The 27622-nt window shown below is 38.5% G+C and overlaps 2 long non-coding RNA genes across 2 annotated transcripts in view; one reads left to right on the top strand and one right to left on the bottom strand.

Annotated features, from left to right (window-relative positions):
• Nucleotides 1–27622, bottom strand: part of LINC01980 (long intergenic non-protein coding RNA 1980) — a 62738-nt gene that overhangs the window by 9629 nt on the left and 25487 nt on the right. The window contains exons 3-4 of the long non-coding RNA NR_146630.1: nt 25949–26047; nt 1933–1996 (exon numbers count right to left, since the gene is read on the bottom strand). This is a non-coding gene — a long non-coding RNA (long intergenic non-protein coding RNA 1980). The remainder of the gene's footprint in view (nt 1–1932; nt 1997–25948; nt 26048–27622) is intronic.
• Nucleotides 16561–19811, top strand: LINC01981 (long intergenic non-protein coding RNA 1981). The gene is made up of 2 exons (NR_132438.1): nt 16561–16698; nt 17115–19811. It is a non-coding gene; the product is annotated as a long intergenic non-protein coding RNA 1981 (long non-coding RNA).

Genomic DNA, 27622 nt, shown 5'->3' with positions numbered 1-27622 from the left:
ATATCATAGTTATAAAGGTTACTTATGTGATGATGTGAAGAATTTTAAGAAGCAATCTACTCTTAGATGATGACAGGGAATCAGAAGATTTGAGACGTTATTTAACTTCCTTTTTCCTCAGTTTCCTTCTATGTCAAATACAGGTAACAATAACTTGCCTGTTAACTTCTTATGCTATTTAAAATTTGCTGTGCTTTGAAAATTGCATAATGCATTACTACATAGTATCATTATTCTATTTACATTATAGAAACTATAGAAATCAGCTTAGCCCAGTGGTATATTTCATATAAATTTATAAAAAATTAATGTAAGCCATTTTTGTTATTTTAAAAAATTAATATAATGAGCATGATTTGGTAGAAAGAGTATGATCTTGGAGTTAGAATAACTGGGTTTATTAGTCCCTCCATTTCTTAGCTGCCTCACTCTTGGAAATACTTCCACATCTCGAAGGTTCAGGTTGCCCCTGTCAAAGTGGAAGTAAATACATGGTCTGTCAACCTCACTGAAATACTGTGCATGAGGGGCATCTATAGGGGGCCCTCTGAAAAGGAGAGAGCCTCACAGGAGTGTAAGACTCTTTCATTGTTATCTTTATGTTGAGAACATGAATTACTTGTGAGTTTAGGAAATTTTACTACAAAGATAACCAAAGTACCAAAATCTGTAAGCACTCTTCCATCAACTCTCCCCTTATACCATTACATTTTCACTGACAATAGAGAGGGAAATATTAAATAAATCTGGTAAGATATCATTCTCAGAAGATATCATAACACATGTTTGCTGGCTCTCCATTCCCTTCTCTACTAGCTCCTGCTAATGCATACCCCAGGTGCCTGTAAAAATCCCTCCTCTATGGTACTTTGAAGAGGGCTCCCATGCAAGCTCATCTGCAGTCTGCCTTTTCCCCAACTACTCTCCTCTTTTGCACCATCACACTCCCTGGGAGCCACTGCCTCTTCTGTTGACTACCACAGCCCCCATAGCCACAGTACTGGGCAGCATTCTACTGAGTTTGAATGTTCTGCTGCCATTAGTACACTGGTCCTTACGAGCTCGAAGTTGCAGAATACTCGGCTGTGAATTGGAGGAGTGGCAGTGGTAGGATTGAGGCTTCCATCTTAGATGTTACACAAAGAGAACAACTTGGAGAAAACTCCAATGACATGGATTTTTTTCTTTTATTTGTTTATTTATTTATTTTGAGAAAAGGTGTTGCTCTGTCACCCAGGCTGGAGTACAGTGGCACAATCTGGCTCACTGCAGCCTCCACCTCGCCAGCTCAAGTGATCCTCCCAGCTCAGCCTCCCGAGACTTGACATGGATTTTTTTAAATTACTAGGTTCCCACTGAGACACAGCTAAAGTAAAGACACAACACTAGACGCTGGATGATCTTCTCCCCGAAAATTACGATCACATGGATCCTTCCCAGGGGCACTAAACAAAAACCTGGACTCATCAAAGAGGTCAGGACAGCATAAGGAAAACTAACTCCAGGCTTCCAGTTTATTATTTGTATGCCTAAGGCTTCATTCCTCCTCTTTCATTTCTATAAAGCAAAGTCTTGTATTTTCCTCTCCATTGTACATGCTTTGTAAAGATAGAACTAAATCTACACCTGTTCTAGTAAACAAAACATGACAGACGACCAAAAGTGTGAAAGCCAAAACCATGTGAAAAACTGCCTCAAAAGATGAGCAGCCCATTTGGAGGGAAAATATGTGGGTTGCTAGTGGGAGGTTCTCACTATTCATTTTTTTATATAGGCTTTTAAAAAGGGGAAAAAGTTAAGAGGAGGTGAAGTGGGGAGATCTAGCTAAGATTTCTTTAAAACTTTTTAAAAGTCAGATTGTTATTAATCTATGGAAATATCACTTGCAAATATTAAAAATCCCCTCAGAAATAACCTCCAAGTCAATCTTACCGGAAAACATGATATGCAAGAGCAAACCAGTCACATAGAAGGAAAGATGGATGACCCCTGTGACCTGGAGGGTGACAAGGAAGGAAAGGATGAAGATGTTGATCAGGAGGAAAAAGAGGAAATGTTTGGATTCTTGTTTCTCTTTACTATAGCAATAATAACAACTGTGTTGGAAAGTTTGAAGTACATAATGAGAACTTTGAAATCATCATTCCTTGGTGGCAGTCTTAACAGCCCCTTTCTTATACAAGATACTGAAAGCCACTGCCATCATAAATACAATTTTGCTCTTATCTTTGATGACTAATGTAAAACAGAACTGAAATCACTTTAAGGTTATCAAATGAACAAATTTTTATATGGCACTTTAAATTGGTTTTGTTCCAAATTTTGCCAGGTTTATCAATGAATGCACTTATTCACCAGAGGGAATAATGAACTCTCATAGTGCAGAATTTGATCCAAAACCCACTGGATTTTTTCAACACCTGCCAATGAGTTTTACAGCATGATTTACAGCATTCAAAGCTGCCCTTGGCTCCTTCTTCAGGAATGATGGACTGGAACCTCAGTTTTGCTTTGCTTTGTTGGTTTTCTTTTTTTGGGGGGGGGTGGGATAGGGTCTCGCTCTATCCCCCAGGCTGGAGTGTAGTGGCATGATCATAGCTCTCTACAGCCTTGAGCCCCGGGCTCAGGTAATGCTCCCACTTCAGCCTCCTATCTGGAACTACAGGCACAACCATCGTGCCTAGCTAACTTTTTGTATTTTTTGTAAAGACAGGGTTTTGCCATGTTGCCCAGGCTGGTCGCGGACTCCTGGACCCAAACAATCCACCTGCCTTGGCCTCCCAAAGTGTTGAGATTACAGGCATCAGCTATTGCGCCCAGCTGCATTCTTGGTTTTCTGAAATGGAGCCATAATTAAGATTGATGACTTGTGTGCGCTATGCTATTAAAGGTGACATTTTTAGATAAGAACAAAACATTCCAGAGGAAAATCTTTACCAAGAATGATTTTCTAAAAAAAATTAAGAAAGAAGTCAACAACTTCTAAGGTATTATGGCAAAGTAAAACCATTTGACTTTTGTTTCTTTTCCTCAGTATCTGCAGGGTATTGGTTTCAGGGACCATTTTCCTCCATGGATACCCAAATCCACAGATGCTCAAGTCCTTTATATAAAATGGTATAGTATGTGCATAGTATGTGCAACCCACACATATCATCCTGTATACTTTAAATCATCTCTAGATCACTTAGAATACTGAATGCAACATAAATGCTATGTAAATATTAATACTTGTCATACTGTATTGGTTTTTATTTGTATTATTATTTATTGTTTTATTGTTGTTTTTTTCCAAATATTTTGATCTGCAGTTGGTTGAATTGCATAAATGGATATGAAGGGTGAACCGTACATACAATTTGCTTCATGAAAAAGAGACTACAACTAATGGAATTGAAAAATATTTATGTAAGAAGTTATTCCCAAAATGATGGAAGACTTAAATTAAGGGACAAGAAATTTCAGAAAATTTAATATTAAAAAAAGAAAGTGAGGGAGGGAGAGACATAGACTGCTGAAGTCACTTTTTTTTTTTTTTTTTTTTGAGACAGGGTCTCCCTCTGTCACCCAGGTTGGAGTGCAGTGGCATGCTCATGGCTCACTGCAGCCTCAACTTCCTGGACTCAAGCAATCCTCCCAAATCAGCCTCCCTAGTAGCTGGGACTACAGGTGCACACCACCACACCTGGCTAATTTTTGTATTTTTTGTATAGATGGGATTTCGCCATGTTATCCAGGCTGGTCTTTAATTCCTGAGCTTAAGCAATCCACCCACCTTGGCCTCCCAAAGTACTGAGGTGTAAGCCACTGGGCCTGCTGTTGAAGTCACTTATATTTTTAAAAGTTCATAAATGCATGCATAAAAAAAAGTGATGGAATATAAGAAAGAAAAATAAAACTGCCTTCAGAATTCTTCATTACAATGATGTCATTCAAAATTAGCAGCAAGAGACAGAATTTCTCCAATGTGCAAAAACGATTTGATGACAAAATTCAGATAACAAAGGGTTGAATTAAATTAACAAAATTAGGAAAATAAAAACTGAATAATTGGCCATAATTTTGAATCCAGTAAAAGAAGGATAAACCTCATTATGGGAATAAATATTATAGAACAGAATTTAAAAAAGTTTTAAGCTTTAGCAAAGTAAAAGTAAAATATAATTAGCTAAAATAAGAAAGCAAAAAAAGAAAATAGAGGTAGAAGAAGTACAAGTATAAAACAAGTATTTTATATCACAGAGTTAAGTGATACTCTCTAATAAAATCAAGAAATCAATCTATATATTATTATTTTAAAGTATAAGGTAAGAATATAAATCTACTATAAGTATAAATCAATAGTAGACCTGAAAATGACAAGAATACTGATAAAAATAGAGAGATGGTAAGGTTAGGGAGGTAAGAGGAACATAAGTGTACCAATTCACTCATCATTCATAGTGGGGTGAAAAATAAATGTTCAAAATAATAAATCAAGAAACAAATTTTAGGCCGGGCATGGTGGCTCACACCTGTAATCCCAGCACTTTGGGAGGCTGAGACGGGTGAATCATGAGGTCAGGAGATCGAGACCATCCTGGCTAACACGGTGAAACCCCATCTCTACTAAAAATACAAAAAATTAGCCGGGCGTGGTGGCGGGTGCCTGTAGTCCCAGCTACTTTGGAGGCTGAGGCAGGAGAATGGCGTGAACCTGGGAGGTGGAGCTTGCAGTGAACCGAGATCGCGCCACTGCACTCCAGCCTGGGTGACAGAGCAAGACTCCGTCTCAAAAAAAAAAAAAAAAAGAAACAAATTTTAAGTAGGTTATATTAATTTACAAAGTAACCTATATTCATAAGAGTAATGTTGGCACCTAAAGCAAATAAACTTTCAAATTTCAGTGGCTTAATATAATATTTGTTTCTTATTTATGTAACAGTAGAAGGTGAGTATTCTGGGTTGGTAAGTGGCTTTCCTCCAGGTGGTGATTTGGGTACCCAGGCCCTTTCCATCCTGTGACCCTGCCAGTCCTAGGTTGATCTTCTTCTGCATCCTACCAGCAGAAGGAGAAAGAAATGAGAAAAAGCACACTATTTCTTGAAAGTCTTAGTTGGTAAATGTCATTCATCACTTTAATTCATAATCCCCTAGCAAGAACTAGACATCTGGCTGCATCTAGACACAAAAAGGGTGAGGGAGTGGGGTAGAAAATAGGCCTCCCTGGCCAGCCACATCTAAGGAATAATTCAGAAGAAAAGGAAAGCATGAATTTCATTGGAGAATTAACTAACTCCATGATACCAGCATATACTAAAAGAACTATAAATAAGCTATAATAGACTATAAATCCTCCAACTTGTCAAAAAATGCTAGTTTTTATAAAACCAATGTTGGAGAAGCTGCCAAAAAAAAAATAGTCACTGTTAATTACAATATGTGATAGTGTAAAAAAAAAAACTGCAGGAAGTTTGGCTGTGCCATTGCTAGGAATTTATTCCAGAAATATATGTGAGTGAAATATCCAAAAGTATGCCGTGAATATGTTTATTGCAGCATTTTTTTTTACAGACAAACACTAAAAACAATTTAAATGCCCAACCCTTTTGGGACTGGTTAAATTTGGAGAGGGAAGAAGAGAGAGAAACAGAGAGGTGTCAACAACTCTAAGCAGTGGCAGACCATTGGGATTATACCTTAAGAGGTACAAAACTCACAAACACCTCTGTCCAAAGTACTCCAAAACAAACATTAAAAGGGATCTAAGAGATCTAGGAGGTATACCGACATTATCCACTACAAATTTAATATTAAGAAAATAGAAATTAAAAGAGTCACATTTTTATGAGAATTTGTATAGGATAAAAATAGTATTTCAAATCAGTGGGGAAAAGGATAAATTATCAAATAGCCAAGAAATAGTGGGCCAAGTTGGAAAGAAAATTTGTTACATTTCCTGACTCACACCATTTGCAAAAATAAATTTCAGATGCATTAAGGATTTAGATATTTAAAAATAAATCCAAAAACTATAGAAAAATTCCATAGGAGAATATTTGTATAATCTTAGAGTAAGTAAGCCTTTCTAAATGTATTGTTCTTGATCCTATGAACACAAAATTTAAAAAGAAATTAAAATGATTTTACAGCTGAAGGGGCATAAGCAAAGTTAATTGACAAATCATTGAATTACTCAGTTACCACAGGTACTAAAAGTAGAATGATTCAGAAAGACACAATGCAAAACTTTCTGAAACCTCTCCTCTGCAAGGTAGCTGGGGCAAAAGCCTTAACAATGCAATCTCCCATAGCACCTGACACCTAACTTTTCTCCTAATTTTGGTATATAATCGGAATCATAGAATAACAGATTGAGATGGAACCTCAAACATTACATAATCTAAGCACCTCATTTCAAGAGGAAGACACTGAAGCCCAGAGAAGAAGTGATCACCACAGCCCACACCCTTGATACTGGGAGAACATGAGCTTGACATCACTGGGTTTTTGTTTCTGTTTTTGCTCATGAACTTTTGTAGACATCAAGAAAGTCCAGGAACCACTCTTCTCCTTCTGCTCACTGGTTCAGATGGGACACCAATCAAGAGATATATTGTGCTTTTGGATGATATATTGGGTACAGTGTACAGTGCTCAGGTGACAGGTGCACTAAAATCTCAGAAATCACCACTAAAGAACTTATCCATGTAACCAAAAACCACCTGTACCCCAAAAAACTATTGAAATAAAAAGTAAATAAATAAAACTAACAAAATGGGGGAAAATATACATGCTTTTGGTCAAATATCATAAGGTGATTGGTCATGACAGGAATCAAAGTATAACTCATATGGGCTTCAGGCATTGAGTTAAATTCAAGAAATAAAATGTGATGGTAACTTTATTAACATGTTAGGTATCTGCACTTTCACCAACAGTATCTCACTGATAAAACAAGAGACTCACTTTATGAGCTGTAATTACCCGTAAGACACACTTGGAATCCAAGGGACCAAAGTGAGTAGGAGAATGTCTCCTCGTAGGAGTCAGAATGAATCCAAACTCTCACATAGTCCTGTTTTCCGGATGCCCCTTCGAGCCTGGGCTCCACACCTAAATGTTTTATTGATTAATTTGGCCATAGGCCTCCTTTCCATATGGACAAGAGTATGTACATTTCCTTTCCTGTCCTACTTCACATCCTCTCTCCAATTGTGGAATCCCATCTTTCATAAAAAGTAGGTGAGAAGACATAACTTCACCAGGTCAGGATGAGCTGTATATCATAGTGGTGGTTTAACAAGAAACCACATCAGTGAGAACCTCTGGTCTATTTTTGCCCCAACCAGCAGAGTGGAGGAAAAAGCAGCCAACCTGGTACCACTGGTACCTGCTCACCCAACCCAGACTGTGGCATTACACTTGATCTTAGCCAAAAGACCGAGAAGCGATAGACTATGGCATTTATTGAGGACTTACTAATTTCTTCTTCTCTCTCCATTCCTACCTCGATGTCACTGATTTTGTTTTTCTTTTCCCTTCTTCTACGTATGTTTACTGACCACCTACTCCATGCTAGGCACAATGAGAGACACTGGAAATCTAAAAGTGAATAGGACACTATCTGTGCCTCAAAGAGACTTCCAATTTTGAGCATTCTACAGAATCAAACACTGTCAGGCACAAGCCTCAGTCCTGAAAAAAATTACTAGCACCATTTACCTTTGTTGACATTATAGTATAATCCCAATGGTCTGCCACTGCTTAGAGTTAATGGCAAAATTCCCCTATGAGCTCTGACCTCTTTCAGATACAGTTAGCACAAGTGTCACTCACACAGCATTTAATATACAATATCAAAAAGGCAAAGATTTAAATGCTTCTTTCTGGGTGCAGAGCTCTGCAGTTCACCTTTTTCTGATTTTCTCAACCTCAGCATTCTAGCTCCCTTTGCTTTCCTGTTCTCCATCTACACTTACCTGAGACTGGACCACCTTGCTCCACTTTAATGAGACCTATGGAATCTTTCTGTTCCTTCAAAGGGAGTCAAATTTTTGACCCTTCTCTCCAGGATTGTATTAATAGAGCCCTTGCCATTTGAATGTAAATATCTTTATACTCTAGCTAGCTATGAGGCTTTCATCAATTCTGTTGAAAATACAGGAAGCTCTACTCATTGGTGCCCAGGGTGAAGTCTTCCTTCTTATGCTATTGGTGCCACTCAGATTAACACCTAGTATAGACACCATTTTTCCTAGCTTTGTCATCGATCTTTGCCTCTGTCTTTCCTCATAAATTGCCACCATTATTGTTGTTATTGTGGTTACCCATTGGTCTTTGTTTTGATTCCTCCTCAAAATTCCTCCCCCAAAATTAATCATGCATAAATACTTAATGGGCACCCCCAACAGCAGCAATGGTGGCTGAGAGCTGAGCATTTACTCCCTGAGCACTGTGCTAAATGTTTGATTTGCATTATCTCCCTCAATCATCACAAGAACCGCCTATGGACAGCTTTTCTAAGCATTGTAGGTAATTGTCTTAGTTTGGTTTCCCCCAAAGCAGCCCCTGATATAAGGATTTGGGTGTATATAGTTTATTTAGGAAGTGGTCCCAGGAAATAGTGATAAAGTGATGACCTCAGATACGGAAAGTAGTAAAGCCATAAAGATGCATTAATGAGTGAGAAACCATTGCAAATAACTAGGGCTCGATTCCTTCTGAGAAACTGTAGAATGCACCTCAGAATTATTCCACTGAGAAGCAAGGAATCTGGAATAGTTGTTTACCAATTCCCATCCTTCATTGATAGATGATCACCCCTGGGAGATCTAACTCTTTAGAGAACTTCCAGAGGGCTGAGCACTCTTCTGTGGTGAGAAAACACCTACAGACAGAAGCCAAAAGAAGCACTGCTATATACAGGAACTGTCTGTGGCCTGACTTCTCGGTGGGGCAAGGCGATACGGGCAGGTCGCTGATGGCATCTGTTACAGTAACATGGAAGAGAAATAAGGAGAGGAGAAAAAGATGGGAAGAAATAAAATGTAATCTCATCCTCACTAGGCTTACAAGAATATACATATAACCCAAAGGAATTTAAAATTCATCCATATAAAGACTGTTCATTGAGTACCTACTGTGTTGCACACACAGTTTCCCAAATTGGGGGCATAGGAGTGAGTAAAATATCATTAGCCTCATGAAGTTTACACTCTAGAACAATAAAGTGCTAAATAAATGGTGCCATTTATTCTCTCTGCCCTTCTTGTTTAATAGCTCTTTGATTTGGTTTATGGATAAGATAGAGGCCTGGACTTTGGACTTTGAACCCGCTTTGCTTACTTTTGTATTCAAAAGTGACATCTCAGATTTGAGAAAACCTTCCACTTAGTTTGTAACTGCCAAGTAGAACACACAGCAGCCTGTCAAGCTGCTTCTTGCTGTCATTTACAGATTTCCAGGTACTTCATCACAGAGATTAAATATGAAGTGATTTGGTACACACTACATGTTTGTGTCTGCCACTTCTTTTTTAGGCTTCTTACTGAAGTCTATGGTGCCTCTGTTTTGCTTTTTCTTTAGTATTACCAGCATGTTCTTCTCGACCCATAAGTGCTAGACCAAGATTGTCAAATTGACTTCTGAGGGTGACACCCACTAATCCTGCCTTGTCACTCTTAGATATTTTGGTTATCTGTCACACTGACTCTTAGCACCCAACAGACCTCATAGGAGGCACCCACTCCACCTCTTTCATATCTACCCATGATCTGGCCACAGGAGGAGAGGGATTGGGTGGCACCAGAGGTGGGCAATGGCTTCAGCTTGACAGAGAAGGGCAGGCTTATAAAGGAGAAATGGCTTATATCTATGTACACTATTGACTGCTCTCTGGACCATTGCAGTAGCTTCCTACTGGTCTCCTTGTCTCCTCTCTGGGCTCCTTCAGAATACATCTGAAGTCCTCCCTGGATACGGCCTACAAGATTCTATGTGAACAGCCCTCCACTACCCCTCAATTTCTCTGATCTCATCTTGCATTGTTGTCTCTAAGACCTCTCATTTTGCTCTAGCCACTCCCCCATCAAAACAACTACTTTACTGCCTCAGGGACTTTGCACTTTCTGGTCCTTCTATCTGGAATGGTCTTCTCCAGACATCTGCATGGTCCACTCATTCTTTGCTTCATCTGGGTCTCTGCCCAAATATCATCTCATCAGAGAGGTCTTCCTTGATCCCCCAGTAATATACAGCACCTCCTTCCCACTCCGACACTCTGTAACCCCCATACTCTGTTCTGTGTTCCACTACAGCAATATCTCACCTTGTTTTTTCTTTCTTTCTTTGTTGTTGTTTGTCTCTCCCCGTTAGAATGTATGCACCAGACACTTTGTCAATTTTGTTTGGTTATATTACCAGCACCCAGAACAAGGCTTGCCATAGAGTAGACCATCAGTAAATGTGTTAATGAATAAGAAGGCAGATTTAGTGAGTATACATGTGTTAAAAGAGACTGAGCTTAGAGATAGTACAACTTGAATATTAAACATTTACATATAAAAACTCATTCCACCACATAGATGCCACTCTCACTACTCTACTGCTATAGAATCTTGAAGCAATCCTGGCAAAGGCAATTGCTCAATAAACCTTTTGGGGAAAAATGACCAATCTTATTAGTCATTAACAAAATACCAGTTAAAACAATAATTAGATACCATTACTGACCAAGATTTTCCAATTATTATAGTTGCTGATGTTGGGAAGGCTGACATGAGAGTGAGGGAGGGACTGGGCACTGGATTACACCACTGATCAGAGTGTGGACACATTCAACTTTTCTAACTAGTTAATATGCATGAAAAGCCTTAGATATGCAGTTTTTGATATGTTACATATGAAGAACATTATTAGTATAAGAAAATGCTCACAGTATTTTTTTATAAGCAAAAGAACAGGGTGACTATAGTACGTGGAGCATAAGACCATTTTTGTTTAAAGAATTTAAGGAATCCTCCCTGATCTGGAAGATCTGATCCTAAAATGTTTGCCATGCTTATCTCCAAGCAGCAGGATTCCAAATAATTTCAATGTTCTTCCTTTTACTTGCCTGCATTTTCTAAATGTCTTATAAGTAACTTGCATTAATATTTCATTTTATTATGTAAGCATTACATAGAAACTTGAAAAACATGTATAAGAAAAAATAAATAAGAATAAAAAGCAGCTTTAATAGTAATAAGCACTAGTAATAATATAATAGTAATTTATTCTTATTAAAATTTTATTTTAATATTAGCTAATTTAATAACAAATGATAATTTGTTTGGATGCTAGGACACACCCACCTTCCTCTTGTTATTAATATGGAGCCTACACGATAAAACAGGCCATCGAATGCCCTCCACGATCTCAATAATTTGGGGTGGCAGGCCTCTGAACAGAACGCAAACCAGTATCATTCCAGAAGAGACAAACTTGATTTGGGTTCCCTTAGCTGGGAGTTTTCCCAAGTTAGCAAACTTGTAGGGAAATGCCTCCTTTGGACCCATGCTGGGGCAGCCCCACACTCCAGGAAAGTTTTCCATCAGGTCTTACTCCCTTGGCACAGGCATTTACATATGTTATGGGCCTGGAGTCTCCTCTGTTTAAACTGTGTCCTACAGACTGATGCCTCACAGCACAGGAAAAAAGTGTTCCCTTATTCCCGTTTATTCCCAGACAAGTAAAGATTCCACCCAGCTCCCTCCAAGTTGAAAACAGCCACCAACGGGGAGGCTGAGAGAACTAGACTAGGTCCTGGGAGGTATTCTTCCAACCAATTTTCCGATAATTAATAAATAATATTATTTAACGTATGTGGGCCTTTATAATTTAGAGTGTCTTCTCATGTATGAAAATATATCTGCACGTTATTTAGTTTTCACAATCCTTTGATGTAAATAAAGCCCAATTTAGTGTGGCAGAGAATAAGAGTCAAAGGTAACTTAAAGGTCATATAGTCAAAACTATTTCAATAATTAAACTTATACTCAAAAATCTATATGTGGGGCCGGGTGCAGTGGCTCATCCCTATAATCCCAGCACTTTGAAAGGCTGAGGTGGGAGGATCTCTTGAGATCAGGAGTTCAGGACGAGCCTGGGCAATATAGTGAGATCCCATCTCTATACTTTTTTAAAGAAGAAAAAAAAACTATATGTCGATGGGATGCCATGGAACCACTATTAATAACACAAGGAAAGAAGAATATGTCATTTATTCAAATATAGATTTTTTCAGTAGTTATATTCAAAACAGAAGAAAACGTGGTTTGATTTTATGTGTGCCTAAGTGTGCAGTTATACATCTTTTACTTCTAATTCATATATTCTGATATTAATTACTAGTAAGATGCTGCTTTTTAACAAACTTAATGGAACCAGGTGTGGTGGCCCATGCCTGTAATCCCAATACTTTTGGAGGCTGAGGGAGGAGGTCACTTGAGGCCTGGCATTCAAGACCAGCCTAGGCAACACAGTGAGAACCCATCTCTAAAAAAGAAAATTAGCTGGGCGTGGTGTCACATGCCTATAGTCCTAGGTACTCTGGAGGCTGAGGTGGGAGGATCGCTTGAGTTGGGAGTTCAAGGATATTGTGAGCCATGATCGCACCACTGCACTCCAGCTTAGGGGGCAGAGCAAGACCTTGTCTCAAAAAAACACAAAACAACAACAGCAACAACAAATTTAATGGCACAATAGTTTTCCACTTCTTTTTTGTTTTTGTTCTGTCTTCAAAAGTAGTTCATCTTTGTTGTTGAAAATTTGTAAAATACAGAAAAGTAAGAAGGAGCATAAAAAAATCACACAATCCATTTTACTGTCAATGTTGGTCTATTTCTTTCCAGGTTTTTTTTTTTCTTCCAACTAAGATACATCAATTCTAACTCAAAATTTTCACAACTAATGGTGACTCTCACCTTCAGTTCATTTTGTGAAAGAAAATGTTCTTCCACAGAATCTAGTAGAATTACAACTTTAAAGCTCACAATACTCACATCCAAAGAACAACAGATAATATGCCTTTCTGTTGTGGATACCTCAGTCTCAGTTCAAACACCTTCCAATCTCATTTGTCTATTGAATTATTCAGTCAGTAAATACATATTGAATGCCTACTGGAAGCTAGGTATTATCTGGTACTGAGAAGATAGAATTTTTAAAAACCAGATGAAAATCATTGAGCTAATGTTAAAATGGAAAATAGTAATAAACAAAATAAATAAGCAAAATATATATAATATATTAGTTGTAAGTGCTAACTGCAAAGCCAAGACATATTTCAGAAACATCCTGAAGCTTGCACTCCAAAGGCAGCCATAACTGTATTTGTTTACACACTTTTACTTGTAAATTTGTGGTTTCATTTCCTGTAAGTAGTTCTGTGCAATGGTTAATATTAAGTGTCAACTTGATTAGATTGAAGGATGCCTAGATAGCTGGTAAAGTATTGTTTCTGGGTGTGTCTGTGAGGGTGTTGCCAGAGAAGATGAACATTTGAGTTGGTGGACTGCAAGAGGAAGACCCATCGTCAATGTGGGTCAGCACCATCCAATCAGCTACAACCCGGCTAGAACAAAGCAGGCAGAAGAAGGGATAAGTTGACTTGCTGAGTCTGCTGGCTTTGATTTTTCTCCCATGCTGGATACTTCCTTACTTTGGACATCAGACTCCAGGTTCTTCGGCCTTTGGACTTTTGGACTTACACCAGTGGTCTGCCCAGGGATCTCAGGAATTTGGCCACAGACCGAAGGCTGCATTGTCAAGTTTTCCCACTTTTAAGGCTTTTGCACTGAGCCACTAACGGCTTCCTACCTCTTCAGTTTGCAGATGGCCTATCATGGGACTTCACCTTGTGATCATGTGAGTCACTTCTCCTTAATAAACTCCTTTCAATATAAACATATATTCAATTCGTTCTGTCCCTCTGGAGAACCCTCAGTAATACACTCTGCAATCCTTACGTAAGTGTAATTCCATTGAGCTTAGAGTTTTTTACCAGTGAAGAATAAAAATTGATATTTGCTTTATAGATTCATTTGGAATCTGAACACCCTTACTTCTTTGCAGATTGAGAATAGTGTTCTGCCTTCAGGTTTACTTTGTTCAGTAAAAATTGTAGTTTTATCAGTAAAGAGGTATAGTTTTTGAGCCAGAACAAGTCAGCAAGTTGAGTCTCAAACTGTCCTTTAATTCCAAAAAGGTCTTGGTCTATGGAATCTGCTCAATGTGAAACTTCAGCAATGTTCTACAATCTAGCTTTATGACCACATTAAAATAAATTGCCAACTTCAAACTCTTCCATATATTTTGTAAAATGCAGACCTTGAAAGGCACAAGCTCCCCAAAAGGTCCATAAGCAGAATTATTTCTTCCATCATGTCATAGCATATATCTGTGAAAGCATAGCATATATCTATGACAAAGTATATATCTTTGTTTTATACAAAGATAAAGTAGATTTACTAAGTTTGAATCAGAGACACTTTTGGTGAATGATACAATAAAAGAAAGATTCTCTATTTCTGTTGTATTTTGGGTTTGAGTAAACTATTGAAACTTTGTCACAAGACAGTAAAAATTTACCACAAACACATTATGACCTGGTAACTGAGGAATGTTTCAAATTGGTACTTCCCCAGGACATTTACTAATGTGAATGGCTACAAAATTAGCACATGAATACCTTAGCTTTTCTGTACAAGCAATAATCAGTTAGGAAATGCAATTAAAGAAAATGTTCTCATGACAATAGCACCAAATGAAACATCATAACTCTAAATACCCTATTTAAAATGTGCCCTCTAAGCATCACACTACCTGACTTCAAACTATACTACAGGGCTACAGTAACCAAAACAGCATGGTACTGGTACAAAACAGACACATAGACCAACGGAACAGAATAGAGAACCCAGAAATAAAACTGCACACCTACAACTATCTGATCTTCGACAAACCTGACAAATACAAGCAATGGGGAAAGGATTTCCTATTTAATAAATGGTGCTGGGAGAACCGGCTAGCTATATGCAGAAAATTGAAACTGCACCCATTCCTTAAACTATATACAAAAATAAACTCAAGATGGATTAAAGACTTAAATGTAAAACCCAAAACTATAAAAACCCTAGAAGAAAATCTAGCCAATACCATTCTGGACACAGGTACGGGCAAAGATTTCATGATGAAGACACTAAAAGCAATTGCAACAGAAGCAAAAATTGACAAATGGGATCTACTTAAACTAAAGAGCTTCTGCATAGCTAAAGAAACTATTTAAACAGAGTAAACAGACAACCTACAGTATAGGAGAAAATTTTTGCAAACTATGCATCTGACAAAGGTCTAATATCCAATATCCAAAAGGAACTTAAACAAATTTACAAGAAAAAAACCAAACCCATTTAAAAGTGGGCAAAGGACATGAACAGACACATCTCAAATGAAAACATCTGTGCAGCCAACAATCATATGTAAAAAAGTTCAACATCACTGATTATTAGAGAAATACAAATCAAAATCAAAATGAGATATCATCTTACACCCATCAGAATGGCTATAATTATATATTAAAATGTCAAAAAACTACTGATGCCGGCAAGGTTGTGGAGAAAAAGGAACACTTTTACACTGATGGTGGGAGTGTAAATTAGTTAAACCATTGTGGAAGACTGTGGCAATTCCTCAAAGACCTAGAGACAGAAATACCATTCAACCCAGCAATCTCATTACTGGGTATATACACAGAGGAATATAAATTGTTCTATTATATAGACACATGCACACATATTTTTTTGCAACACTATTCACAATAGCAAAGACATGGAATCAACCTAAATGCCCAATAATAACAGATCAGATAACGAAAATGTGGTACACCTACACAATGGAATACTATGCAGCCATAAAAAGGAATGAGATCATGTCCTTTACAGGGACATGGATGGAGCTGGAGGCCATTATCCTTAGCAAACTAATGCAGCAACAGAAAACCAGATACCGTATGTTCTCACTCATAAGTGGGAGCTAAATGATGAGAACACATGGACACATAGAGGGGAACAATGCACACTGGGGCGTACCAAAGGGCAGAAGGTGTGGGGAGGGAGAGAATCAGGAAAAATAACTAATGGATACTAGGCCTAATACTTGAGTGATTAATCTGTACAACAAACCTCCATGACACGTTTACCTATGTAACAAACCTGCACATCCTGCACATGTACCCCTGAACTTAAAAGTTTTTTAAAAATTTAAAAATTAAAAAAGAAAATAAGATTTGCCCAATCTCTGTGAACAAAATCTAAAAATCTATAGAGAGACACAACAGAAGACTTGAATAAATAAAAAGAGCACCCTGTTTCTGGATAGTGTGGTAAACTATATTTTCCAGAATGGCCATAACAGTATTTCCTATCTCCCATGATCTTCTTTCAATGATGCCTTAAAACTCCTTTCATTGTGAAGTAAGGTCTTTGTTCCTTTGCCTTAAATCTGGGTGTACCTGTAACTATGGGAGAATTGACATTATGTGTTTTCAGAGGCAAGGTCACAAAAGGGAATGCAGCTTCTATCTGGTTCTCTTGGGATGGTTGTTCTTGAAACCCAGCCACCATGCTGTGAGGAAGTCCAGACAACCTATGGAGAGGCCCCTTTCAATTTTACTGAAAGGCAAGTTTCAGGATGATATTTATTTTTCAATGTTCTTGCTCCATTTCTCTCTCTCTCTCTCCTCTCCAATCTATTCTACTTAATTGCAAATTTCCACATTTTTTTATACAGAAACTTTGTCTTCTATAAAATCAATGGAAAGTGTTAATTAGCTGTCACTCATCTTCTATCATATTTGGCTCTTCTGCTTAGCAATTTTGTTTTGTTTCAGTTTGTTTTTTCTCCCCCTTCCAAGTTGCTCTCTATTTTGTTGACTCTTTCCATTTAAAAAAGGCCTGTATGTAAAGTCAGCTCACACATCCCTCACTCCAAATATTACTGTTGCTGATTTCTGTACTTCTTTATAACCAAGATCTTGGCTTGCCCCAAAGACCAGAAGAAAAATAATCTACACAATATCTTGTTCTTTTCCTCAGTTCTCTCTCAAACCAGAAAAAGAAATGAAGATAAAACAGATAACAATGTAACTTTTACCTGACAAAACAACCCTCCAAAGAATCAGCACAATTTAAAAGTTTAGAATAATTCTTTTTGTGGAAGCTCTTACAGGTTGAGGTTGTGCTCAAAATAAAAGAAACAGCCTGAAGATTAACGTAGAAGAATGTTTTGAAGGAAGAGAGAAAAAGAAGGAGAAATAAGAAGAGGAGGAAGAGACGGAAGGAAAAGGGGGAAACAGGAAGAGGAGAACAAAGAGGCAAGAGGAAAAACAAGAACTATTACTACTACTACTGTGTGGTCAGTTACATCTGTACTACCTTTAGATTTTTTTTTCCTTTTGGAGTAGATTAATGCATAATCCTTGCTGCACTGACTCATTTAGGTTATACCTGTTTTTCACTCTGGCTTCCCCAAGGTCCACCTGCATGTTCATACCAATCATTATCTAGACATGCATGCATTTCTAGACAGGCTGGAAATCTCCTTTTGGATGTTTCAGGGGCATCTCAAGCATAATATGTCCAACAGAATATTGATCTTGCCACAGAACATGTTCTATGCATCTTACCAATTGCACTTTGTGGTATGAACATCCCATCCACGTACTCACATGGGAAACTCAGGGGCCATGCTTGGGTGCTTCTCTTCCCTACCCCTGCCTCTGTTTCAACTGGCCTAACATCAAGTCCTATTAGCTCTGCCTCCAAAATGTAATTCCTATTACTCCATTCCTCTCCAATACCTCCACTGAAAACACCCTCCTCTAAACTACCATCTTTTAAACTGTTGTCAGACATCAGCAAGAGTAACCTTTATAAATATAAAGCAGATTGATTTCTTCCCCTACTTAAATGGTCCTATTGCAGTTATAGAAAAATCCTAAGTCTTTAACATGATCAAGAAGAGCCTACACACCAGGTCCTTCCCACCTCTCCAGCTGTGTACCATTCCTTCTGACTAATTCTGCCCCACCACTCTCCCATCCAGCTGTGCAAACACACCAAACACCTTCCCAATGCAAGGCCTTTTCTCATGTTATTCCTTCCATGTGGAGCACACTGAACTCCTTGGCTGCTGTCCTTCAGCTCATTTTTTGTGTCTCAGCTGAAATATTACTACCTGAAAGAAGTCTTCACCAGCTTCAAACTCAATCAACATCCTGTGCTGGACATTGTAGATCATCTCACTCACTCTCCATTCCACTCTCCTCCTATTTGAAGAGGATAGAATGCTACTAACTGCACTACTGACTCCCTTGCAGCTAAGGGTCTGGATGCTAATGTGGTTCCACCTGGCAGTTTCTACTAGCAAGCACTATCATGGAAACATGAGGTTTCTCTGTACTGTGCCAGTTTTCAAATTCCTGAGAATGAACTTAGTGGGTGCAGGGGCATTAGTGGCAATCGTGGCATGTTGACTGGCTTGCTAAATCATGAATCACAGCCTTGGATATCCATTTTGTAGCGACCCAGGTGTTCAGACACAGTTTCAATAAGAGAATTTAAGCAAGTGGCAGTGTGTTCTTGACCTGCAAAGTTCCATATGGGAGCTCCCCAGGGGGGCCAGCTCTGCAGTGTTCTGAGAAATACCCCTGAAGACCCAGGATTAAACTGCCTCTTCAGCCCTTCAAAAGAGTTTTACAAACATCCTCTTCCTTGAATTAATCCATATCCTGCTTAAAATACCTAGAGTTTTTTCTCTTTTCTTCACTGGAGCCTGACTGATACAAGTCTGCCTGTTAAACTCTCTTCTAATTCTTATCATAATATGTAATTATATATTTATTTGTGGGGCAACTTGTTTCCATCTGGATCACTGCTATGTCCCCAGCACCTAGGATAGTGTCTGACATACAAAAAAGAGAGTAATCAATATTTGGCAAACCAATGAGAGAATTTAGCACTTTCAACTATGTGGGTAATTCATTTGTCAACTGATCATGAAGATAATTAGATTCACACTTCAGTTACCTCTTATATCTTTAAATAATAACAAAATCTCAAAGTGTATAAAAAGAATGCAAATAGAGTTATTTTTTACAGAGTGCCAGATATTTAGAACTGCTGCCTACAGTCCGAGTGAGAGAGATGGTCTTGGAAAGCTGATGAAACAACTCCATGAATTAATTCTGTTTTCATTAAATCCGGTCTGATCTATTGCCTACTCCATCAGGAGACTTCATTAGGCTAACTGGAAAAGGACAACCAATATGGTAACTTAGTTAGCTCTGGTTGTGCTACAGCTAGATAAAAAGGTTTTTCTAGGCCCATTGATTCTGAGTGTAAGGTTTTCAGGTTCTCAGATCGCAAGGATTTAGTGTGAACCAAAAAGTCTGCAACCTGAAGTATGAGATTTGAAGGAAAGAGTTGATCTTCTCCTAGAGTTCAAATTGCTTTCATTGACTCCGAATGTTCCACCAAAAAATGAATGCAAAGGAACCTAAGGGCAGATGAGTATTAGAATAAGTCCACCAAAAGCAATGTTCTCAAAGCACCAGTGCTTCAAGCTGGCAACGCAGCAAGGTGGCTAAGAAATGGGTTTTGAACTACACAGACCTGGATGCAAATATTGCCTCTTCAATCAACGAGCAAAAAAAAAGAAAACCTTCAGCAAGTCTCTAATTTCACTAAGCTTTAGTTTCTTCATTCATTAAATAAAAATCCTAGTCACACCTATGACTAGTCGCAGGGTTTGTTTCTGGGATTTAAGTAGAATCACCTTTGTAAAATACCTAGCATGGAATTTAGAACTTATGCTATGTGTGTTTGACAAACAGTAACCACTATTTTTACTATTTAATGAGTATATTATTTGCCTGTCCCTCCATTATAGTATGATGACATCTGATCCATCGATTCTGAACCTGGGAAAGGAGTCACTGGTCCAACTGTGATATTATATTAGTAATTGCTTCTGTTGAGATGAAAAGGTCCAAAAATGTAAGATATCATTAAAAAAAAGATGGAAACAGCAGGGCGTGGTGGCTCACACCTGTAATCCCAGCACTTTGGGAGGCTGAGATGGGCGAATCACCTGATTTTGGGAGTTCGAGACCAGCCTGACCAACATGGAGAAACGCCGTCTCTACTAAAAATACAAAATTAGTCAGGTGTGGTAGCACATGCCTGTAATCCCAGCTACTTGGAAGGCTGAGGCAGGAAAATCGCTGAACCCAGTAGGCGGAGGTTGCTGTGAGCCAAGATCATGCCATTGCACTCCAGCCTGGGCAAAAAGAGTGAAATTCCGTCTCAAAAAAAAAAAAAAAAAAAAAAAAAAAAAAAAAAAAAAGGATGGAAACACTAGATAGTATTTTTTACTTTGTGGGATGCTTGTTGCTGCACTTATCATTTTAAAGTCAAGCTCACTCCCGCATATTTCATATAGCTCTGCTAGAGTTGTCACCTTCCCTGGCATGACCACCTAGCATATTTCAGCCACCTGGACCCAGTCATTTTTTCTAGAGGTCAGCATACATTGAAAATACTGACAATTTGAGACTCTTTCTGGAATTGATATGGATATGAACAAAAGACAATTTTACTTTCTCAGCTATTTCATGCTGTAGAGGCAATGTAAGCTTAGAGTGACATTACAGCACCATCTTTTCTATCCTAAAATAAGTACATAGAGGAAAACAGGTAGGGGTGTGTGTGTGTGTGTGTGTGTGTGTGTGAGGGAGAGAGAAAAACAGAGAGACAGAGAGTGAGAGAAAAAAAAGTCAATGGCATTGTATAAGTTTCCTGTATCTAGCCATTCTTAAATAAGATTCTGTCATCTTTAGACATTGCATTAATATAAGTCAATGAACTGATTTTTTCTTTGTTCGGATCTAAGCTCTGTTGAGTTAAAGTAAGTGTATATCACTTCCATGCAAAACAATTGTAATTCATATAAACACTGTCTTAGTTTGGGAATCCCTCAGAAGCAAAGCCTGAGACAAGAATTCAAGTACAAGTAGTTAACTTGAAAGGTAATTCCAGGAAATATCAGTTAGAAAGTGGAGAAGTAAATCAGAAAGTGGAATGGAATAAAGCCAATAAATGATTCAGGAAGCCAAAAATGGTGTATAATTGAGCCGGTTGTCACTGTGGGCACCTGCAGCTTAATAGCTCTAGGGAAACTGAGATCCAGTGTAGACTATAAGCCTCAGTGTAATCCCATCTGATGGACAGGGCAGCCAAGGTATTTATATACCAACTTCCTTCAGTCATTGGTTGTAGACTGATCTGGGCATGCTAATTCTCTGGTTTCAGCCTGCTTTTTGTGAGCATATACCAGAAGCTGGCTGTCAGAGTAAGTCCTTGCGCAAAGAGAGGCAAATGCTGGTAATTAGAGATGGGCCTGTGGGCACTACAATAGTAAAGCTCCAGGGAATATGAGGGGGGTGGGTACCAATAGCATTGCTACAACATTGTTCAGAAAATGTTATATATAAAGTTTCGGTGCCACAAAAGAAAGAGCACTCGAATATAAAATTTTCTTTTTAATTCTCAGCAAGGCAAGTTACTTCTATATAGAAAGTTGCGCCCTTACAGATGAAACAATGGTGAGTGCACACTTGGACAAGGGAGGGGAAGGGGTTCTTATCCCTGACGCACGTGGCCCCTAATGTGTCCTTCCCCTATTGGCTAGGGTTAGACCACACAGGCTAAACTAATTCCGATTGGCTAATTTAAAGAGAATGACGGGGTGAGTGCTTTGGCGGGAATCAGGGCAGAGCAGGTAGCAGGTAATTGGAATGAGTTAGTGTGGAGCAGGTGATTGGAGTGTAGGGTGGAGCAGGTGATTGAAAAAGGTTGCTTTACGAGGAAGTTAAGTTTAAAAGTAGACGGCAAAGAATTGAACATACTGACATATTAATTCTTTGAAAAGAAATTTAGAACTCATATCTAACAAAAAGATCCAAAAAAAGATCGGTAATAAAAGTAGCTTATGTTTATTGGGGTTCAGAAGGGATTTTGCCGTTTCTCACTTAATTCTCTAATACATTCCTACTAGGTCACTAACAGGAATTATTATTCCTATCTTACAAAACAAAAAACTGGATTCAGCAGTTAAGTAAATTGTAGAAACACACACAGCTGTTAGACAACAGAGCCTAAAGACTGAGTTTTCTAATTCTAAGTCACAACTGTTAGAGATTAGTTTAAATTTGGTTTTAGAGCAACTCTAGAAGAATGAGCCTTCAACAAACATTTTCCCTCCCACTTGAATTTCATAATCTCTATACACCAGAAAAACTCACAAATGGAAACACATATGATGTCTGAAAATATGACTTTTTTGAATACATTTAAAATTATAAAAAAACAAGTCGGACTAGTCTGAAAATGAAAAAGCTAAAAAGTCTGCATAACTGAAGTCTATAAAATCTTCATAATATAGAGTGAAGTTGAAATAGCCTTTCTGAGAAGTGACCCATGTCGGAAATGCCTGAATCTGGTTTTCTATTGGGTGAGTTTGTAGGGCAAATGTTCAAGAGAACACCTCTTCAATAGTTCACACCTTTGCCACATTTCAAGATGAAAAATCTTCACAAAGGGGAGATTTATGAGCTTTAACGAGGTCAAAGGGTGCCACCCATGACTTTGGTTTTAAAGAATGAGTTTATGAATCAAATATCTAGGTGGACAAAATGATAGAGATCACCTTCAAGAGGTTTCCAGACATTGGGGCAGCCATCTGAGAAAGCTCATGGAATTCCCACTCTTGGGAAATGTCAGCATTGTCTTAGGATCAAGATCTCTCCTGAAGAAAATTAAACATGACTTCAGCAAAAAAATATAAGGACAGTTTCCGAGTAAGTTATTAATTTTTGACCATCCAACTTGGTCATTTGAAAATGGTCTAAGGTATGGTGTGAGCCTAAAAACAATCATAATCATAATAATTAATATCTGCCATAATATAATGATATTTTTGTGAATATCTTATATAGTTCCATAAGAGAAGAAAACTAGAAATAATATTGACTGAGATAAGTACCCAGGATTTATCATACACCCTTAACTCAGCCCTTTAATAAATGTACATTGAGCTCCTATCACACCCAAAAGTATGGGAAAGTGCTAGGAAGTTAGTGCTAAACTCAACAAACATAATCCATGCCCTCCTGAAGTTATAGCCTAGTGGAGCAAACAAACAGGAGAAAATAAATATGTGATTGCAAATTGTGTCCAGTGCTATGACAGGTACTACGAAAGCTTGTAACCAGAAAACTTAATTTTGATTTAGGAATTAAGACTTGAAAGATTGATAGGGGTAATCAAGCCAAGAGTGGGCACAGATGACCTAGAGTTTTGGCTTCCTCTAGGGGGCACAGATGACTCAGAGCTCTCCTGACAGAAAACATCTATCTGGGCCGACAAGTGGAGAGATTCCTGTTGATGTGTGCATGTGCGAGAATGCAACTTTGGCTAAATACAGGTTGGTCCTGTAGCCAGTGTGGGGTTCTGAGGAGAACCTCAATTAGAAGTTAAATGAATCTTAATTTAAAACCTGGCTCTGCTATTCACTAGTTGTGTGGCCTTGGGGAAATGCATCGACTCTCAGTGTTCCAGTTTCCAGCCTGTCAATGTGGGAGATTAACGGTCTTGCAGATTAGGTTTTCTGGAAGCAGACTCTAAACTAAGCAAGACATTGATTAGGAATTGAGCTGTGATGGGAAGGGAAGGGAGCAATGAAAGCCTAACAGTGCCATAGCCAATCCTGGAGGGAGCTCAGGAGCAAACAAAACCCTACAGAGTCTGTCTATGTTGGGTGGGAATGACCTGACCTCTATATCTCTTCCTCAATTATGGGACATGGGCTTTCCCTAAAAAGGGCACAATTATGGGCCAGGTGCCTGTCTGCTGCCTAGGCCAACTCTGAAGGAGCTGAGAGCTGAACAGAGGCTGTATGCTGACCACACCCCCTACAGCTGGGAAGCACTTTCTCTTTGAAGGGAGAACAAGGTTGCACCTTTATGTCTACCACCAAAACTGAATTTCTGCAGAGCAAATAAGATTAAGCCCTTGAAAACAGCTGGCACAATGGAGATGTATAATAGATGTTAGTCAAGTCATAATCATTATCACATACTTCTTTATTCCACATCATTCAGCAGGCTTCTGCCATCATCATTTTAAGCACTTTTATATTAAGCATCTGCCCTCTGCATATCCTGCAATCTCAGAATGTAATGCTCTTCTCCCCTAAAATTTAAAGATATTCACTTCAAATGCTTTCTTCTCCACGAATTTTTTTCATATCCTACTTAGTACCTTAAGGGATCTTAATCATTCATTTGACAAGTATTTGTTCAGCCTTTGGCCTCCTAAGGCTGGGAATGGTAAAAAACCCAAGTTTACCCTCAAGTTTTCCTTCTGGTACTGTCCGTTTCGCACTTCTAGCCCACCTGAGACACAGCACTGTGGCACCCAGCCTATGCCACCTTGAACCTCAGCTTATAGTTTGGTCTACTTGCTGTCCTTATCTCTTAATTCCACAAGTGATTCTGTGTTCCTAGAAAGCAGAGATAATACCTTTCTAATTACAGTTACAATCTTCCCTCCCCAAACCCAGCATGTAATGTATATTCAATAACATGAACTAAATTGAGCTAAATTGAATTGAATGAAATAGAGGTTTGTCCTGAGTCTAGCTCTGGTACTCCTAATAAAAATGAATAGCTTTAAATAATTAATGAGAAACTCTTACAATTGAACTACTGAGCTAATTCAACATGCCATAAAACTTCTTACAGTTTATAATCCTTTGTACAAATAGAAAGAAAGGTTACCTACAAGGAAGACTTTGAAATTTGTTCCTTTAGCAATTACTGTACAACCCAGTATGGCTTAGGAGTAAAGAATACTAGGCTATGAAGTAAGCCTACATCATTTTGAATTTTATCTTTGTTGCTGTGTGACTTTGGGTAAGTCACTTAACTTCTCTGTGGCTCAATTTTCTTATTTATAAATCGGAAACAATACAGCACCTACCTTCTAGAATGTTATAAGCATTCAAAGATATCATGCAAATAAGGTGTTCAGAACACAGTAAGAGCTTAGTAAATGCCAATTACCATTATCATTATTATTATCCAGAAATTTATGTATATAGATGGGTGAATTATCTCCTCATTCACCAGCAGCTGAGTTCATATAAGGAGCTGGGAGAGGCCTGTACGGTTTTTGTGTCAGATATTCTACTAGGTTTGTTTGTAGAAGTATATATATTTCCTAAAATATAAACAGACTTCCTTCATATTTTCACTCCATAAGTTCTGGTGTTTCAATGCTTTTTAAAAGAAAAAAATAGCATTATTTCATTTCTCCCCAAGAAAAGTGTAAAAGCCAAGAACGTTTTTAAAATTACACTTTCATTACTTTTATAAAATATACTGTGAAGCATTATCATAAATAATTTAAATCAACTCCATGAATTTGTCAAAATAAATTAGCAACTATACATTCCTCAAATGACAATCTGGATTTTGAATTGATCTCTGGTGTTCGTGTTTGTGCGTGTGTGTGTGTGTGTGTGTGTATGTCTGTGTGTGTGTATGTCTGTGTATGTGTGTGTCTGTGTGTGTGTGTCTGTGTGTGTATGTCTGTGTGTGTGTGTGTGTGTGTATGAATAGATGACAGATCTTGGCTTTTTCTAAATTTACCAATGTCCAGTGAATTCAGGTATTTGATGACTTCACTTTTGCATTTTCAGTAAACATTTTGTTATTTGGCTATGAGGACAGCCCTTTTCTGAGTCATTTCTTCAAAAGCCTGAGCAGCATGTTGCACATCTCCTTTGCGGGATAAGAAAAAGCCCTCACCTCATCCAAATTGGCTGGCGGGTAGGGCTTCTTGCCAGGAGTCAGTCAAACCTAGATCATAATTCTATAGAGTTTCTCTCTTTGGATCCAGTGGGCATCCTGGAACAGAGAATTACAAGTGAGTTTCTGAGGTGTTAGAAGTATAGGTGCACTGAGATTATAAATCAGGCTGGAGAAAAGGCTTTTAAGCAGAAACTGAAACAGGGTTCACGTCTGTCAGCCCTTGTGAGGTTCAGTAAAGAGAACCAGACAGAAAACACACAGAAGGGAGACCAGGGTAGGGAGTGTGCAGGTGAAGACCTGAAAGGACTTTGAATAAGTTGGGGCTTTATCCTAAGGACCCAAGGGAAGCTACTGAAAGCGTCTAAGCAAGAGAGAGACACAACCAAATTTGCATTTGATTTGCTTCCAAGGAAAGTACACTAAGCATCTTTATCCAGAACCCTGGGTGAGCACAACAGCTATTTCTCTAAGGTTGCTGGAAACATAATTGTCAGATTTACTTGTCTGAAACGGCAAAATGTCCTTCCTCTGAAGGGAAAAAATATACTTTAATTTTTGCTACTTTATGATTTGTTTAAGGCAACCGTCCCATATCATAAGGGGAATAACTCTGTATAATTCCTAATATATAAAACAGGAAGTGTCTATACTTTTCTGGAAAGAGATCTTTTAATAATAGATTCCAAAACATTTTTTATCCCCACCACAGCTTAAGATGGAAAAAAAAAAGTGGCTGGCTGTGGTGGCTCATGCCTGTAATCCCAACACTTTGGGAGGCTGAGACAGGCAGGTGGATCACCTGAGGTCAGGAGTTCGAGACCAGCCTGGCCAACATGGTGAAACCCCCTCCACTAAAAATACAAAAATTAGCCTGGCATGGTGGCACACGCCTGTAATCCCAGCTACTCAGGAGGCTGAGGCAGGAGAATTGCTTGAACCTGGGAGGCAGAGGTTGCAGTGAGCCAAGATCATGCTACTGCACTCCAGCCTGGGTGACAGAGTGAGATTCAGTCTCAAAAAAAAAGAGAGATAGAACACACACAAAAAAATAGAGATAGAGATGGAAAAATAATGAAAGACATATCAACTTAAAAATTCTGTAATGAGGCTAGGCATGGTGGCTCACACCTGTAAGTACTTTGGGGGCCTGAGGCAGGAAGACCTCTTGAGGCCAGGAGTTCCAGACCAGCCTGGGCAACATAATGAGACCCCCATCTCTACAAAAAATAAAAAAAAATTAGCTGGGCATGGGGGTGCATGCATGGAGTTCTAGCTGCTCAGGAGGCTGAGGTAGGAGGATTACTTGAGCCCAGGCTCTCTAGGCTGCAGTGTGCCATTATTGCACTCCAGCCTGGGCAACACAGCAAGACCTTATCTCAAAAAAAAAGAAAGTTCTGTAGCTGGCTTGGGTATATATGAGTACTAATTCACAAACTTTGAGAAATATACAAAACCTTAGAAATTATTCACATCAACAGTTCTCAAACTTTTTGGTCTCAGGAGTTCTTACACTCTTAAAAATCATTAATGACCCTGAAGAGTTTTTGGAGTGTGAGTTACATCTATTAATATTGACCATATTAGAAATTAAGACCAAGACAATTTTAAAACACAATAATTCACAAACACATAGTCCATCAGCCACCAGATCCATGACATCATCACACCTCG

Source organism: Homo sapiens, chromosome 3, assembly GCF_000001405.40.
Source record: "Homo sapiens chromosome 3, GRCh38.p14 Primary Assembly".
NCBI classification, from domain to species: domain Eukaryota; kingdom Metazoa; phylum Chordata; class Mammalia; order Primates; family Hominidae; genus Homo; species Homo sapiens.
This window is presented reverse-complemented; position numbering and strand designations above follow the sequence as displayed.